General features: G+C 37.1%; 1 protein-coding gene across 3 annotated transcripts in view; it reads left to right on the top strand.

Moving 5' to 3' along the window:
* Positions 1–19,250, top strand: part of DOK6 (docking protein 6) — a 448,200-nt gene that overhangs the window by 331,545 nt on the left and 97,405 nt on the right. For all 3 annotated transcript variants that reach the window (NM_152721.6, XM_017025610.2, XM_017025611.2), the window contains one exon: positions 6,533–6,671. In NM_152721.6, the coding sequence (NP_689934.2) occupies positions 6,533–6,671 (139 nt within the window). The remainder of the gene's footprint in view (positions 1–6,532; positions 6,672–19,250) is intronic.

Genomic DNA, 19,250 nt, shown 5'->3' on the forward strand with positions numbered 1-19,250 from the left:
ATCTTTACATGGTGGGTTTTTTTGATTCTGAATTTTTGAGGCATAAAGATAAATAGAAGAGCATCTTATATGTATATATTTTCAAAGATTTACTAAAGCCAAACTCCAGAGTGTTCAGGGAGACTCAACTAGTCGTCTTATTGAGTTAAAGTAAAAGAAAGAAAAGAAAAAATAAACAGAATAGGGTAAAATGAAAACTTTGGAAAGATGTGAAAAGATAGATTTTAACTAATGTGATTGTAATTGTGCCATCACTGAGTACACAGGTGGAAGAATTGTAGAGTTTGAGTACAAATGTGTACCTTAGATATGGTTTATGTTCACTCTTTCATTTAAAAGCTGAATTTTAGAGAGGGTTAAATGGCATTTCACAAAGCTAGTTGGCAGCAGAGCCCAGACTAAAACCAAGATTTCCTTGTAGGCATGTGTATTAGTCCATTCTCACACCGCTAAGAAGAATTATCCGAGACCGGGTAATTTATGAAAACAGGTTTACTTGACCCACAATTTTTAACAGGCTTAACAGGAAACATAGCTGGGAGGCCTCTGGAAACTTACAATCATGGCAGAAGGGGAAGTAAGCATGTCTTACCATGGTGGAGCAGGAGAGAGGGAGAGAGGCATGGCAGTGTACGCCTGTACAAACAGCTACTCAGGAGGCTGAGGTGGGCAGATTACTTGAGCGCAGGAGTTCAAGGCTGCATTGAGCTATGCCTCTGCGCTCCAGCCTGGGTGATAGAGTGAGACCTTGTCTCTATGAAAAAAAAAAAATTCATTTAATTTACATTAAATAAATCTATAACTTTCCTTATTATTTATGTAAAGATTTATTAGTGAAAATGTTCCTTCTATACTTAAACCCCATCTGCTTCACTTCACGCCCAATAAATAACAGTTAGTAGGTTTTGTACATTCTTCCAGAGTTTAATGTACATACATGCAAAGATGCATATAAATTCTTCCCATGCACATTTTTTACAGTGACATAAAATTGTATTTATTGTGTACAACCTGATATTTTGAAGTATACAAACATGTGGAATGATTAAATCTAGCTAGTTAACATATGCATCACCTCACATAGTCATCATTTTCCATGCTGAGAACACTTATCCACCCACTTTACATTTTTAAGTATACAATATATTTTTATTAACTATAGTCACCATGTTGGACAATAGATCTCTTGAACTTATTCCTCCTATTTAACTGAAATTTTGTCCCACACATCTTTTTTACACAAACATTAGCATGCTCTACATATTACTTTCACCTGAAAAATACTTTTCATAATTTTTTCATAGAGTTCTTTGAGCATTAAAAAATTAATGTGTGTAAACCCTAAAACCCTGTAACTTATCATTCTTCACTGTATACTACTATTATTATTACGACTATTACTGAAAAGGAGTAGTCTTCAGTAGTTGAATTTCTAAAATATGTTGCTAGATGAAACAAGAGGAATTAGTGTTTTGAGTTTCAATCTTTTTGTTTTTGTCTTATGTTACTTTTTAAAAATAATAGATATCAAAAGATATTTTCACCGGCAAATTCATCTATCTTTTCTTCTGTGACTTTATTTGAATCCTCGCTTGAAATCCCTTCTCCTTTCTGAGTTTATGTAGAAATTCTTCGATATTTTCTTGTAGTGCTTTTTTTTCCCCATTTGCTTTCTCTGAAATTTATATCAATGGAGGAAGATACATGGATTCAAATTTTTTTTTTTCCAAATGACTACCATTCAACAGTTTATTGAAGAGGTCAGCTTTCCCTAACTGACTTGAGACTCTACTTGGACCATATGTTTAACTATTATATGAACTGGGTCTATTTCTTGACTTTCTGTACTGTTGCTTTACTGACTTTTCTGTACTGTTGTTTTTTACAAGCTGTCTGTCCATTTTGCCTAGAGTTTCTTAGATTAAAGTCTGACTCAGAGTAACCAATCTTTTCATAGCAGCAAAAAAAAAAAAAAAAAAAAAAAGGAAAATTCTAGCATCGTTAAATGACAATAAAGATTAAACTGTTAACAGAATAAGTGTTAATTGGTTTTAACTGCTCTGTGGAAAAGCTGTGCTTTGAAGAATTTCATTATGTTCTATAATTAAACGTTAAATTTTAAATACTGAATAGAAATACCACTGGGTTTTTAGGAACATGCTCCTACTCTACCCCATTACTGAGAGTTTAAAATTTCTGTGTTCACAGAGACTAAATATTTGGTTATTAAATATGTACACAATATTGCAAAACTTACAGTGACAATGAAATTATACAGCTGTGAAGATGGACAAAATTGCCAGATGTCAACTAATTCATCTGTAGCAAAGTTTTATCTATAGACCCACAAAAAATTATCTTAAAGTATCTACACTTACTTTAAGTAAAATGTCTCCATAATTTTTGACTTGGTAAATTTCTTTCACACATCATGTGGGAAGAAAGAGTGGCATTTCAAAGTCACGCCTTCATAGAGAGCCAAGTTTGAGAGTTACAGACAAGAAAAAGAGGGCGTGGTCTAGTAGTTCAATGCTAGTAATATTTTCTCCAGAAAATTCCTCCACGCACCATGTTAGGGCTGATTCTGCCCTTGAAGGCAACTAAGAGAACCATGAATAGTGGAGCACCTCCTCTGGAGTTCGGTTTCCTTCAAATATATACATCCACATGATCCCTGGTTATTTTTTATTTGTTAGAACATAACAGATAAGTCTGACAGTACTGTTATCTCAAGTGATTCTGGATGCAAGTGGTGAGGCTGGATAAAGAGGATATTCTCTTAGATTCCATAGAGGAATGTAATTTGACAAACAGACATTTAGGGAAAAGACTAGGAATTTTACACTCTTACTGCATTATTGACTCCTTAGCACATGCTGTCAGTGTCAGATGGAAGGGTTCCCAAGGCCACCCTCCAGCTCAATACTCCTCTAGAAGACTCACAAGACTCAGAAAAACACATTATGCTCACAGTTTGTATCACCACAGTGAGAAATAAGATTAAAATCAGCAAAGGGAAAAGTCACAAGGGATAAAGGCCAGGAGAGACCAGGCAAAACCTTCCAAGGCCCCTCCCAGTGGGGTTGCATGGGGACACCCTTAATTCTCCCAGCAATGACGTGTGACAACACATGCAGTGCCATAAACCAGAGAAGCTCCCCTGAGCCTTGATGTCCAAGGTTTTTATTGGGGGTCAGTCATGTAGGCATGCAGCACCCCCAGGACTGACTCAGCTATTCAGGCTCCAGGCTGCATCAGAGTAAAAACAGGCATCCCCGCTAGGCTGTCCCTTGTTGGGATTAATGTATCTGGTCAAATGGGTATAGCATGGCCCAAGGTCTCAGACTTACAGAAACAGGCAGAATATTCCAAAGGCCCCAGAAATCAAATCCCAGAAGCCAGCCATAGGCCTATCCTAAAAATAGGAATGGAGAATGTGCAGGGTTTGAATAACCAACTGGTGCCTGCTAAGTTAACCCCTTCCTGCCCACTATCACATATATTACTTCATTTAATTAAAAACAAACTGATAAATTCTTGTTGCCAATTTTATAGGTGAGAAGTTAATAGGTAAAATAACTGGCTCAGATTGATCCCCAGTTGTCCTCCTCATGGCCCTGTACTTCTCCCTGGTAGCACATATCACAGTAAGTTTGTGATTCTTGCTGGCCTTTCCTGACTACTCAAAAGCCTCAGAAGCAATAGGCCATATATATTTTTCCCTCCTATTCAGTTCCCAGGCCCAAAACAGTGCCTAGGTTATAGTAGCTACTTGAAAATTATATGATACATTTATATGACAGGCTAGAGCATTGTGGTTGAAATCGGTGCCCTAGTCTTTTGAATCCTATATTGTTATAATTTCCCTATATCACAATGTTGAAAACAAACAAAAACAAAGAAAATTCTGGAAACAAGTGTCCCAGTTCTGTTTACCTCTTAGAATTTTTATGAGGCCCTAGAATATTCCTCAGAGCTGAAAGAAACCTTAGAGATTATATTATCCAACATCCTATTTTAGATAAGAAAAAAAACATTCATTTTGTACAAAGACATTGTTAGATATAAAGAGATTACAATTGCAATTGTCTACAAACATCAATAGAATTCTAGTTTGAAGTCAGGACAAACACACGTCATCCATATTTTCCCTGTTTCACAAAATAAATGCAATTGAGGAATATGCATCTTGTTGGCAAGGGAATTGGGGGTTCAACTGTAACACCTATGTTTTAGCTTTTCCCAAGTTAAGGAAATAATTCTTTGGGTTCATTTGCCCTTTTTGACATATTTATTTATAATATTAGTTTTATATATCACAGTCTTAAAAAGTTGTGCAAATACGTCTTCTAATATGTCCTCCTGTGGGTCTCATGTGTCATCTCCCACTCATCTTCAATGAAATGGTGACCTGTGGAGAAGGTTCTGGAGTCTAGTCATCAACAAACATAATGTGCATGTGAGTCACCTTGGGGTGTGTTAAATGCAGATTTAGATCTGATGGTCTGGACAAGCTCCCAGGGAGGCAGATGCTACTGATCCGTGGACCATGCTTTGAGGAGCAAGTCAAATGCCATCTAAATTATTTCCTCTTTCTCCTAATTACATTCTCTAGTATTGGCTTGTTACCACAAGACTGTTTAGACAGATATGAAACAGTCTATCTGTTCCCTAACAGCCCCAAAAGAACACATTTTAAATAATAAGGGAAACCTAGAGTATTAGTGCATTTTCACACTCCTACAAAGAAATACCCAAGACTGGATAATTTACAAAGGAAAGAGGTTTAATTGACTTAGTTGCACATGGCTGTGGAGGCCTCAGGAAACTTACCATCATGGCAGAAGGTGAAACGGAAGCAGGGACCTTCTTCACATGGTGGCAGGAGAGAGAAGAGCAAAGGAAGAACTTCCAAACACTTAAAAACCATCAGATCTCGCGAGAACTCGTTCAATATCAGGAGAGCAGCATGGGAGAAACTGCCCCCTGATCCATTCACCTCCCTCCCTCCACATGTGGGGATTACAGGTCCCTCCCTGGACACATGGGGATTACAATTTGGGATGAGATTTGGATGGGGACACAGAGCCAAACCCTATCACCTAGCCCATTTATTCCAACATGGCTGACAAAAAATCATAAATATGACCTTCATCTAGGCTTAGGTACAAACACTGAAGAAAGAACATCTTCTACCTAAAGTTTCTTTGCTTTTTATGCTGTTTTAGATGCCTTATTTCATGATCAAAGGATGAAGTTTACAGTAGTTTTTACTTCAGAGACAAAAATCCCTCCTGTAAGCATGCAAGCTCTTGCGCGGGGCAGAGTCAAATCCCAGGAAGTGGACAAGCACTCGACCTTTACATCTCAATGACCGAGTGTGACATAACAATTTGTGTCTTCATTATCTCATTTCCAAAGGCTAATAAGTACTGTTTTTCAGATGACTATGAACAAAGCTCAACCTCAAACAAGATGCACTCGCTACTTATCAATGGTTTTGTTGCTGCTGCTCCTTACTCCTCTGAATCAACAAAGAAAGCTCATTTGTTTCACTTTGTGAAAACTCTTCATTTTTCCCCCAGACTTTCCATTTCACGCTGTGTGAATTTTATTAAGATCTCTTTCAGAGAAGCTAAGTGCTGGCTCTATAGGGCCCTAAGGGATCACAGTTGCAGCCTCTGTAATGTCGGAAGCCTCTTGAGACATTTCTTTTCTATTGAAAACTCTTTGGAGAATCATAGAGAAGAATCTAAAATCTTTTTGGTGCTTAAAGAAATAGTTATCCTCATGAATATTTTTATGTTATAACTTGAAAATCGCTTGATGTTGTAATCTGAAAAATCAGCAACACAGAAATCCAATTAATATCCAATATCCAAAATATTAACATATTGATATTGGGTGGGTCTTTCTGAAGACTTTCTTAAAAGCTAGCTTAAAATATTAAAATGTTTTCCATTTTAGAGTTAGCCTTTGTTAATAAAACTTACCTATAATCCTATTGAATAACAACTTGTCAGTGGAGTTTTCCTAATTAAAAAAAATGTTTTTAAAAAGTAATTCTAATTAGATAGTTGAAAAAAGAATTTGCATTCTGATTTTTCCCTGAATTGACATAAGAATTTTAATGCTCTCAGAAATGACATGGTGATAACTGCATAACAGTTTGCCCATATTGTATCATGATAGTCTATGTCATAATGGCAGATAAAAACACTAATTCATTTAAATATTGGAAAGCATCCACTGTCATTGCCTAAATCACCTTTTTTTTCTGTTCCTTTACACTGTTGTGAATGCTTCCTTTTTAAACATCCAAATATACATGGATTTTTATTTTTATTTCCATTTTCATGTACCATATAAAGATGCACTTTTTGGTTGGTTTGGTTACGGCTGAATCAGCCTCACTAACTCCTGTGGAGGTCAGGAGGAGGAGGCACAAGGGCAAGGGCTTTGTCTACGTGGAAAACTGTTATGCACTTGAACACATGGAGACCCATCTCTTTCCCTATCTCTATTCTCACAGAATGTGTGACACAGGAGAAGGACTATTCACTTTTCAAACAAGGGAAGGAGAAATGATCTATCAGAAGGTTCATTCTGCGACACTGGCCATAGCTGAGCAACATGAAAGATTAATGCTAGAAATGGAACAGAAGGCCCGGGTAAGGCCCCTTCCTTGGTAACCTATCAGCTTGGAAATGAATGTCACTGGGATCTGATGTACACTGTGTATGTGTGGGGCCATTCATGTCAGCGCCTGGGTGTCCACCCTGCCCTGATCCTGAGGGCTTACCCTACCCTCTCATCTCTCTAATATCCTATTCAATATGTCAAAAAAGAAGTTATTGTGGCCACCAACTGTGAGCCCTGCACTTCTGGCATCTACCTATGTAAGACCTGTTGCCTTGGATGTCAGAGAGTAGATTGCATGAAATAAGAAGCAATGCTGTCTGCATGTCCCCACATACAGTTGGACAATCAGATTTAAATATGGGCTCAAAATAACTAGGAAAATTAAGTTCTCACCAGGAAGGGTTCCACTTTATTTTTTAACCTTTATGTTTATCCTAGGTGCTCTAAAAGTTCTAGCTCTTCCTGTATGTATAATAAAATGTTTACAGAAGGAGGTTATGCTGGTTGACAATAGAATAATTTGTCTATCATCTTGTCCTGGAACTGTAGTCCAGTTTTAGGATCAAGCTAAAAAATAATCTAGTAAAGAATCTAAAGTAGTAAATTTTATTAATATGACAAGCTGAAAAATAATTATAAGCTTTATTACTAATTTGCTTGAAAAAGCAAACAATGAAATGACTATTGATTATGATCTTAAGAGATGAGTATTGTTTTTTCTCTAGGATTTATAAAGATGCATCAGAGTTCATCTATAGAAGGACAGGTAGTGTTTGGGAAGCATCTATAATTCTCTTTGTGAAACATCAGTAAGTCTATTGTAGTTTAAGAAAGTTTCATATTACTATTATTTTAGTTTTTATCTCTAAAATTCTATGAAACATTTTGAAGTATAAAATAAATATTTTTAAAAGAAAGAGAACAGAAGTAGCTTAAATGATCATATTTTACTCTTAATGCACTTTTAACTTTCTCAATACTATATTTCTCTCTCCATCTGGGGTACGGTTAAAAAAGAGCCTTCCTAACACCTCAGGAGGGAAAGGGCAACACAGGGCATTGGACTCCCCATGGAAATGAAAGAGTAGCTTCAGCATTTGTAGGATGATTAGGATGAGACTGTGGGGTTGACTGAAGAATCATCAATTAGAGAGGGCTGGTAAAACAAACTTCTAGAAAGATTTGGGTTAACTTTAAACCATTGTAACAATTATCTAATCAACGTGATGTTTTTCTAGCGATTAAAATCAAGTGGAAAAATATAACTATCAAATTTCAAATTATTTCAGAGTCATGCATATTGATCATCAGCCCATATTTTCAATCTGCTGGTGCTTGTTTTCAACCAAGATTTACCATGGGGCTAACCATGATGTCACTTGCTATTAGTTAACCTCTGTACTTCTTTACTTATAGTTGTTTTAAACAAGCAAAAGCTCATAGAGTGATTTAAATTATATTTTAATGATGGAAATTCCAAGAGCTCTTTCACATACTGTAATTATCTGCCATAAAGAAGAGTACCCCGTTGGTGCTCTGGGCTTGCATCCCAACACCACCACTTACTGGCTGTATAATCTTGGGCAAATTATTTAACTCTGGTTTTCCTTTATCTGTAACAAGGGCATGTAATAGTTCTACTCATTTGGTTGTTATGAGGTTTCTGCGCATTCATCTACATAAAGTGCTGAGAATCAGACCAAGCACATAGAAGTACCATGAAAGTGTTCATTATGGATGACGGTGATGTCGGAGTGACATTGTATAGTTATAAGAGTTGCTATTATGGCTACATAATATCCTTCACAATCTTTCAAGTATTTCTAACAATGTTGTGCCAAAATATTTGCTAAACAAAACTTAATTCACTTTTGTTGTTGATGTTGTTGTATGTTTCTCGTGTCCTGTGCCACTGAGAAGCAAGTCAAAGGAATGGAGCCAAGTAATTGCTTTTAATGGCTCAGAGATGAGATAATGGATCCAGTCAATGTAACCACAGGCAGTCTAAAGCCAGGGTGTACACCACAGGCGTGGGTGCCAATATCAGTGCTGAGACAGAGATAGAAGGGAGAGCGCAACAAATGTTTAAACAGCAGGCTCAGCAAGGCTCAACAGAGAAACAAAATGTTTCTAGAAATTACAAAATCAGAGACTCCATCACTTGGCCCATACATGTCAATAGAGTGTTTGATTTAATTCAGAAATAATTTCCAACTATGCTTTTCTCTGCAGGTTAATGCTAGTAAGAACTACTCCATGGCTAATTTGTTCTTCAGAGTAAACTGAACTAATCCTTTCCAAGTGCAAGCTGCCTCAAGTTGATAAATGCCTAAATTTCCAAAATACTACAACCAAAAGCAAAGTTTTCCAGTTCTCCAGATACAATTTTTTTATAGATACCTCAACATGCACAAAACTTTTCTTTGTTGCTGTTGTTTTTTGAGACAGGGTCTCGCTCTGTCACCCGGGCCAGAGTGTAATGATGTGAACACAGCTCACTGCAGCCTCAACCTCCTGGGCTCAAGCAGTCCTCCAGCCTCAGCCCCCAACTAGCTGGTACTACAGGCCTGCACCACTATTCCTAGCCAATTTTTGTATTTTTTATAGAGACGGGGTCTTACTGTGTTGCCCAGGCTGGTGTTGAACTCCTGGGTTCAAGCAGTCCAACTTCCTTGGTCTCCCAAAGTGCTAGGAATACAGGCATGACCACCATGCCTGGCCACAGAAAACTCTTATACAAAAATTTCCAACAAGTATGAAAGAGTGTTTAAATACTCTCTAACTCTTCATTTACTATTTAAAATAACAAAATTGTAACTTGAAAGTTGGATAAAAAAACTCAAATGAGAAATAATGTCTCAACAACCATTTCTTACTATGAAAGAAAATTCAATATGATCTTTTCACACCATATAAGACCTTATTTTGCCCTTGTTTATAACCCACTTTCTTTGGGGGGCCACATGAATAAACATATTTGACATATATCCATAGTCTGAATTAGGACATTTCTATTCTTGCTTGAAGAATTTGATGTTTAGAAAAATTTCTCAGCACTGGCCAGGCACGGTGGCTCATGCCTGTAATCCCAGCACTTTAGGAGGCCGAGGCAGGCAGATCAGCTGAGGTCAGGAGTTTGAGACCAGCCCAACCAACATGGAGAAACCCTGTCTCTACTAAAAATACAAAATTAGCCAGGCATGGTGGCACATGCCTGTAATCCCAGCTACTCAGGAGGCTGAGGCAGGAGAATCGCTTGAACCCAGGAGGCAGAGGTTGCAGTGAGCCGAGTTCGTGCCATTGCACTCTAGCTTGGGCAACAAGAGTGAAACTCCATCTCAAAAAAAAAAAAAAGAAAAAGAAAAAGAAAAATTTATCAACATTGTGAGAAAACATTGCATTTGCCACTCAAAAGTAACTGGACAAAAGAACCACTAAATTGGTAAGATAATTAGAAGTGAATGTCTTGATTTCCTTCACTGAGAAGAATAAAAAATTAATATTAACTGACAACATATTAAGGAGAGGTTATTGGTTTATTAACCATTCACAAGATTATAAAGTGCTTGCACTATGCTGAGTACCCTGCACAGTGGTACAGGGAAATACAAGAGGAGAGCAAGAAAGTTCCTTCTCAAGTAGCCCAGAATTGTGTGGGATCAAATAATTTGTACTGCTCAGAACAAGATTATTGCATGTCCTTTGACTCCTTGAAATATCAAAAGTTTTCCATACCTCAATGTATGTATGGGTAAGACATCACCATCATTGAATTTTGCTACATGATAATAAATACACCATTTGAGCTTGTTCATATTGTCATGGCAAGAGCCTGACAGATTATTGGGATAATCAACTTATTGGAGTCGGCCCTCCATAGAATGATCTCTGTATTAGAAGATGACATGCTTGCCATTTTGCATTCAGAGGTACAGCAACAGCTTCTCATTCCTGCCTCCAAGTGAGAATCAGAAACTGGTCTTGGCAGAAAAGGAGACAGCAATCTTAAGGAGTCTCTATACCTTCTTCATTTTCAAACTACAAACCAGTCTAATTTTAAAAGAGTTTGAAGATACATGGGAGAATTAAGCTAGGGTAATACATATTAAACTGGAACTATTTTTGAGGAATATGTTTCAAATATTTGAGAAAATGATTAAAGCTAGATATTTGAACACGATATGTTCATCTCTAGAAATGTTTCCATTTCACAGAGATCATTCTTGTTCTCAGAGCTAGCAGAGTTCTTTGGATTCCATTGCCAAAAGTATCTGTAGATGGTTTGACATGCATGTGCAACATTATCAAAAAAAGTTTTGACACTGTGATAGAAGCCACTCATCAGAAACTGTATCACAAATGCTCCCATGTGACTTAGCCTGTTAAGGTTGAGTACAGGCTGAAATCATCATGGACACGGCCTCAACTGGATTGAAATAATTTAATTTTAGATTTTCATGGATCTGCTTTACATGCACACACATGCACATTAAATGAAAGGTGCTTTCTTTTAAAATGTGCCTTTTATGTTCTAAAGCAATTTATTATAAAATGCTCACATGTAAAGAGCAGTTGAGAAGACAAGAATGAGAAAAAAAAAGATTTTTTTTTTCTGCTATATCCAAAATAAGTAAGCAAAAAGAAGTGTGGGGGGGATTGTCAGTAATTTCCAATCTTCTAACATTGCAAGTAATTTAAAAACATTTGTATACAAACACCCTCACAAAATGAGAATTTCAGTGTATTAAAAAAAAAAAAAAAACAGCATTTAGGATGCTCCTGTTCTGTAATCCCCATCTCCTGCTCACCAGAAAAGCTCTGTATACAGTGTAAGGACAAATAGCATGAGTGCTGTTGAAACGCCAGGAAGATATCAAGACTTTGTCTAATGCCTTAAAAACATCATCAGTGGGACTTGTCAAATGGGCTGCCCTCCAGAGCTGTCAATCCTGTGATTTTCCTAAGCTCTGGTGGACAGAAAAAGAAAGAACATTGGGAGGCCAAGGCAGGTGGATCACCTGAGGTCAGGAGTTCAAGACCAGCCTGGCCAACATGGTTAAACCCCGTCTCTACTAAAAATACAAAAATTAGCTGGTGTGGTGGTGGGTGCCTGTAATCCCAGCTACTCAGGAGGCTGAGGTAGGAGAATTGCTTGAACCCGGGAGGCGGAGGTTGCAGTGAGCCGAGATCGCACCATTGCATTCCAGCCTGGGCAACAGAGCAGGACTCCGTATCAAAAAAAAAAAAAAAGAATAACTGCAAATACAGTTATTATTCAGAGTTCTATTCATGATTTTATCACTCAATATTACCAATGTTAATCATAAGATTAGAGCTTTTGATTGCTGAGAGTGATCACATTTGCATATTTGTGATTTTTTTTCTTTTTTTACTGATAGTCATGGATTGCGATGAAACAACACAAGCTGAATTAGAACAAATTATTATGGTTGATAATGAAAATGTGAAAATGGATCTGTGATCCCAATTAATCAATTCACTTACTGTTGTTCAGTTTCAGAACACTAAAGAAAATTTAGTCTAAACAACAACAACAAAACCTCACTTGGCTGGGCGGGGTGGCTCACGCCTGTAACCCCTGCACTTTGGGAGGCCGAGGCGGACAGATCACTTGAGGTCAGGAGTTCAAGACCAGCCTGGCCAACATGGTGAAACCCTGTCTCTACTAAAAATACAAAAAGTTAGCTGGGCGTGGTGACGGGTGCCTGTAATCCCAGCTACTTAGGAGGCTGAGGCAGGAGACTCACTTGAACCTGGGAGGCAGAGGTTGCGGTGAGCAGAGATCACATCATTGTACTCCAGCCTGGGTAACAGTAGCAACACTCCATCTAAAAAAAAAAAAAAAAAAAAAACACCCACACATACACATGCCCAAGGAGAAACATGTATCTCTGCGTAAGGACACGAAGGAGGTAGAGATAGTGAGAAAGCAATGTGTAATTTATCTAACCAGTGGTGTTCTTGCATGATGTGAGTAAAAATTAGACTATCATGTTCTTTTTTCTTAAAACTTGTTTCCTTAAAATTGATATTTTAGATGTCACTTCAGAAAATGCATTTCATGTATGTATGTATGTACATGTATGTACTTCTCAAATGTAAATCAAATAGATCAGAGTTGGTTCTGTGTAAGAAAAATCATTGCCTAACACAAAATATTGCAATTTCTGTGTTTAAAAAAATACAGTTTTGATTCTTTGCTTTGCTGGAACTGAACAATATAAAGAAAGCTGCACAAGGATAGTTTTCTTAAATGAAAATAACAGATTTCAAAAGGTTCATCAAAATGACCCAACATACAGACATTATGACAACATACACACATATAACCCAATGGCTCAGACTATCTTTTCTTTGGAACAATGCTATAAAACAGAAGTATTTTTTAAATGTAGGCCACGAAAATCTAAGGAGTTGATATAAGCATTGCCTGGGAGGATAATGAAGGCCACATCCAGTGAATGTGATAGGAAGTGTCAGTTCCTGGGATGTGTTCAGTGAACACAGATGCAGATTGTAGAAGAAACACAGTAGGATTTCAGAGATTGATTCCAGGGAGACTACAACAGAGCTATGTGACCTTGGGCAAGTTACGTTCTCTGTGCTTCAGTTACCTGTACTTAAAAGGTGTTGAGTGAAGCACAATGATATCATAATATGTACTTCACAGTGTTAGAACACCACCTGGTCTTTAGTAAAAGCTCAGTAATTATGAGCTAATTCATAAGATGGCTAGCAAGAAAATTTAGCTTTAAGTGGGAAAAACTGTTTTAACCATCACTAAAAATTCATCCCAGCTTTCATTACGTGCAGATATTGGAAATTAATTTTATGAACTTAACGATAGCCTCTAGATATTTACATTTTTTTAATTTAGAAAGAGCCCAAAATTTGATTTTAAATCACTAAGAAATTTAACGTTTTATGTGTATTTATCATGTTCCTTTTATTCAAAGAGCAGCTCTGTAAATGTGTCTTACTTACAAATAGATAAACAGAAATAGAGATAATAGAGAGATTAAGAATATACATGTTGTTAAATGCATTACTGATTGCAGACGGAAATGATGTTGAAAGTGAATGACAGTTTCTGCTGTTATTCTCAAACTCAGCTTATTTTCAGACTTCCTGAAAGTATTTTGGTCCATACATGATTTTATTTATTTAATTATTTATTTATTTATTCATTTAGAGACAGAGTCTCACTGTTGCCCAGGATGGAGTGCAGTGACATGATCTTGGCTCTCTACCTCCTAGTTTCAAGCAATTCTCGTGCCTCAGCCTCCCCAGTAGCTAGAATTACAGGCACATGCCGTCACGCCTGGCTAATTTTTTGTATTTTAGTAGAGAGCATTTTGCCATGTTTCCCAGGCTGGTCTCAAACTCCTGAGCTCAGGCAATCTGCCCAGTTTGGCCTCCCAAAGTGCTAGGATTACAGGCATGAGCCACCGCACCTGGCCAATACATGATTTGAAATATACAATAACACTCATTTCTTCAGGTTTAATGAAAATATCCTACAAAGTTCAATTAAATGACATCTAGCAACTTTCATTCAATGACCATGTAAATATTACCTTTTATTTGTCATTCTGGTACAGACCTAGCATGGTATCTTCTAATTCCTTTCCATTTATCTTGAATAAAATGGAAGATTAAGGGTGAGGTGTCCCTTATTGAAAATTAAGCCAAGTCTGTGATAAGCCAATTGGTGTTCTTCTTGAACATGAGAAGGTGTTCTGTCTTGAACATGAGAAACAGGCACTCGCATTCCTGCTCTGGTTTTGTGAAATTTACCCAATTGGTGTAATTCTCATCTTATCTGTATCCTGGAGAAGAGAGATCCAGTAATGTATTTTACAGTGAGTCATGGGGAAGAGGGAAGAATATCAAGACTCTGAAACCTCAGAGCCATCTCTCATTAGCCGTGTCACCATGAACAAATTATATTATCCCTCTGTACCTCATTGTCCTTGTCTGTAAAGTTCAGATGGCATATTTGTTGACAATTTATGTGAATATTCAGTAGTATAATATATGAAACCAATTTGCACATTGCCAGGCACATAGAGAATGGCTCATAAATGTCAATTTATAAATGCTGAATTTCTTCTCTCTCAGTTGTATATAGATTTGTCTCAACTGCTAATCCAATTTTTAATTTTTAGGCAATCACTAGAGAGATAAAGAGCAAAAGGAAAGTCAGTTAACAGTTTTTTTATACAAATGAATTTTATGTAAATGAACACAAATTAGCATCAATGTTCATCACAGGGGGAAGAAAAGCCTCAAATCAACAAAGGAAAAAATTTCAGAGACAGTAAGATTACCTAAGGTCATATTTTTGGCAAAAGCATGAAGAGGTGTGGGTTGCCAATACCTTCATAAAATTCCCAACATTTGTCAGCCCCACCTTCCTAGTAACTTAGGTCTTCTCAAGGGATAAGGGTAGAATGTCCACATTGCAATATATTAGGGAGGAAGCTCTTTCCGCTCCGCCCCCTCCCCCCCACAGAAGATATCAGCATCAAAGTCTAAAGAGCAATGGGCTCAGAGTCTAGAGAACTGTTTTCTATTGGGAGCTCTGTAGTTGAGATTTACCTTGAGCAAATTCTTGAATTTTTCTGCATGTTGATTTCCCATCTGTAAGAAAATTGCTAGGCTTTCTAAGAAGGATTTAAACCTTGAATTGCATGACTTGTCCACATAGTTACTTGAAGCTTCCTCACTCCGTAGCAGTCTTACATGTATGCAGCCTTACAAGGTGACTCAGAAGAAGTGAGAGGAAGAGGAGCTGTCATAAGGGTCTTAGAAGTCATGTCCACAGCAGACATAATGTCACACCTACCATATGTTATACTGGTCAAAACAATCACCAAGAAGCCCAGATTAAAGGGAGAGAACAATCTTACATGCAAAGACACACATAGACTCAAAATAAAAGGGTGGAGGAAAATTTACCAAGCAAATTGAAAACAAAAAAGCAGGGGTTACAATCCTGGTTTCTGACAAAACAGACTTTAAACCAACAAAGTTCAAAAAAGACAAAGAAGGGCATTACATAATGGTAAAGGGGTCAATTTAACAAGAAGAGCTAACTATTCTAAATATGTACGCACCCAATACAGGGCACCCAGATTCATAAAACCAGTTCTTAGAGACCTATAAAGAGACTTAGATTCCCATGCAATAATAGTGGGAGAATTTAACACCCCGCTGTCAATATTAGACAGATCACCGAGACAGAAACTTAAGATATTCACGACTTGAACTCAGCTCTGGATCAAGTGGACCTGATAAACCCACCCCCAAAACAACAAAATATGCATTCTTCTTGGCACCATGGCACTTACTCTAAAATTTATCCCATAATTGGAAGTAAATCACTCCTCAGCAGATGCAAAAGAACTGAAATCATAACAGTCTCTCAGACCACAGTGCAATCAAATTAGAACTCAAGATTAAGAAACTCACTCAAAACCACACAACTACATGGAAATTGAACAACCTGCTCCCGAATGATTTCTGGGTAAATAATGAAATTAAGGCAGAAATCAAACAACAGATGCTGGCAAGGTTGTGGAGTAATAGGAACATTTTTACACTGTTGGTGGGATGTAAATTAGTTCAACCATTGTGGAACATGGTGTGGCAATTCCTCAAAGATCTAGAACCAGAAATATCATTTCACCAGTCATCCTATTACTGGATGTATCCCCAAAGGAATAGAAATCATTCTATTACAAAGATACAGGCATGCATATGTTCACTGAAGCACTGTTCACAATAGCAAATACATGGAATCAACCCAAATGCCCACCAATGATAGACTGGATAAGGAAAATGTGGTATATACATACCATGAAATACTATGCAGCCATAAAAGGGAACAAGATTATGTCCTTTTCATGGACATGGATGAGCTGGAAAGCCATTATCCCCAGCAAACTAATGCAGGAACAGAAAACCAAATACCACATGTCCTCACTTGCGAGTGGGAACTGAACAATGAGAACACATGGACACAGGGATGGGGACAACACACACTGGGGCCTGTTGGGGGTTGGGGTGGGGAGAGGGAGACCATTAGGAAAAATAGCTAGGCTTAATATCTAGGTGATGGGTTGATAGCTGCAGCAAACCACCATGGCACACAGTTTACCTATATAACAATCCTGCACATCCTGCACCTGTACCCCAGAACTTAAAAATGAACATTTAAAAAAATGAAGGAACATAGGCAGTTTCTGAGTGCCAGCTTTTAAACGAATTTGCAGCCATCTTCAATCTTTCACAAAATAATGCAATATTTATTACTATTTATGATGTAAGATTATGAGGAAACATTATACAGAATCTCTTGATGATGAAAAAAAAGGACAAAAGCATAGAGCAGAATCATGATTCCAGTTTTGCTTCCACAGGATATATGTTCTTAGGAATGTCGATTGATATTAATCAATCAAAGCTTCAGCATCCTCTCATTTTAAAGAGGGATACTTCATCCCTTTCCTATCTTACAGGAATTTTATGAGGATTTAAGTAGATAAAAATCAATGAGTTGGCCGGGTGCAGTGGCTCACGCCTGTAATCCCAGCACTCTAGGAGGCCGAGGCAGGTAGATCATGAGGTCAAGAGATCGAGACCATCCTGGCCAACATGGTGAAACCCTGTCTCTTCTAAAAATACAAAAAAAATTAGCTGGGCGTGATGGTGCGCACCTGTAGTGCAGCTACTTGGGAGGCTGAGGCAGGAGAATTGCTTGAACCTGGGAGGCGAAGGTTGCAGTGAGCCACCAAGACTGCGCCACTGCACTCCTGCCTGGCGACAGAGCGAGACTCCATCAAAAAAAAAAAAAAAGTTCTGGGTCAAATACCGGGTAAAATGACTAAAGGGATATAAAAGTGTAGAATACTTGAATTTGGCTGAAAATAAGGAAAAGGCATTTTATATATATATATATTATATATATATAATATATATAAAAACATGTATGTGTTAAAAATGCTCAATAATTTCTACTAGAACAAGTGCAGATGAAACAAAGATATTAATGGATGATGAACAACACTGTTTCTTGAAAGGAAAGCCCAGACTTCCTAGGAGAACACAGAAGAGATTCTTATTCATTTGGAAGGGTAGGGGCTAGAAGATGGAGGTGAGGTTGAACATTAGGCCTGGGCAGAACTTTTAAAGGAGAGTTTAATAAAATAGCTAAGGAGGGGAAATGTAAGTTATAGAACCATAGAACAGTCAGAAAGCTTTGTGAATTAAATAAAATACCACTTTCATGTATAAAATAGTACTTGAAAAATGGGCAAGGAACATGAGCAGACATTTTTCAAAAGACATAAAAATGGCTACAAAGGTTCATAAAAAATGCTGTACATTGCTATTCATTAGGGAAATGCAAATAAAACCACAATGAGATATCTTCTCATACGCATCAGAATGGCTATTATAAAAAGATGAAAGGTAACAAGTGCTGGTGACGACATGGAGAAAAGGGGACCAGGACACTGAACACTGTTGCTGGGAATGCAAATTAGTACAACCATTGGGGAAAACAGCATGAAGGTTCCTCAAACATTTAAAAATAAAACTACCCCATAGGCCAGCAATTCTACGTCTAGGTATGTACCCAAATGATTTGAATCAGTGTCAAAGAGATTCAATTCTCTTATATTCACTGCAGCATGTTTCACAATAGTAAGTTTATGGAATCAGCATAAGTGTTTATCAACAAATGAATGGATTAAAAATGTGGAACACATACGCAGTGGAATAGTATTGAGCCTTAAAAAGAAAAACTCATTTGCAGCAACATAGCCTTAAAAAAAAAGAAAACTGACATTTGCAGCAACATAGATGGAATTGGAGAACATTATGCTAAGTTAAATAAACCAGACACAAAAAGACAAATACCATGTATTCTCACTTATAAATGGAATCTAAATCAATCAACTCATAAAAGTAGAAAGTAGAAATGTGGCTACAAAGGCTAGGGGCTCGGGGGCAACAGGGAGATGACGGTCAAAGGGTAAAAGTCTCAGGCAGGAAGAGTATGTTTTATTTTGATTTTGAGTGTTCTATTGTGGCAAATATAGTTAGTAATGCTGTATTGTACATTTCAAAATTACCAAGTAAATTTCAAAGGTTCTTATCACAAAAAAGATAAGTATTTGAATTAATGGTTATGTTAATTAGATTGATTTATTTCACTTGTATTCATAAATTATAATATGTGCCCCACAAATATATATAATTATAAATTGTCAATTTATAGTACAGTTAAAAAGTACTTAAAAGATACAAGAGGAAATGGACAGAAACATGCTAATCAGTCATTTGAAATTAACACTTTCATATCTTGATACAGTGGATTAAAAATTGAACAAATATATATAGAGCAGGAAATGCAGAGTGAATAGTGTTTATTATGTGTATATTTGAGTGTGTGTAGAGAGATTCTACATCAGTGTGTGCATCTTTTCAAGTACTTACAAGATGTACAGAAATTGGCCATATTAGTTAAAAATGAAAAATAAATTTTAATGTACGGAAACTACTCAGTGCATGTTCTCTAC

Source organism: Homo sapiens, chromosome 18 (assembly GCF_000001405.40).
Source record: "Homo sapiens chromosome 18, GRCh38.p14 Primary Assembly".
NCBI classification, from domain to species: Eukaryota; Metazoa; Chordata; class Mammalia; order Primates; family Hominidae; genus Homo; species Homo sapiens.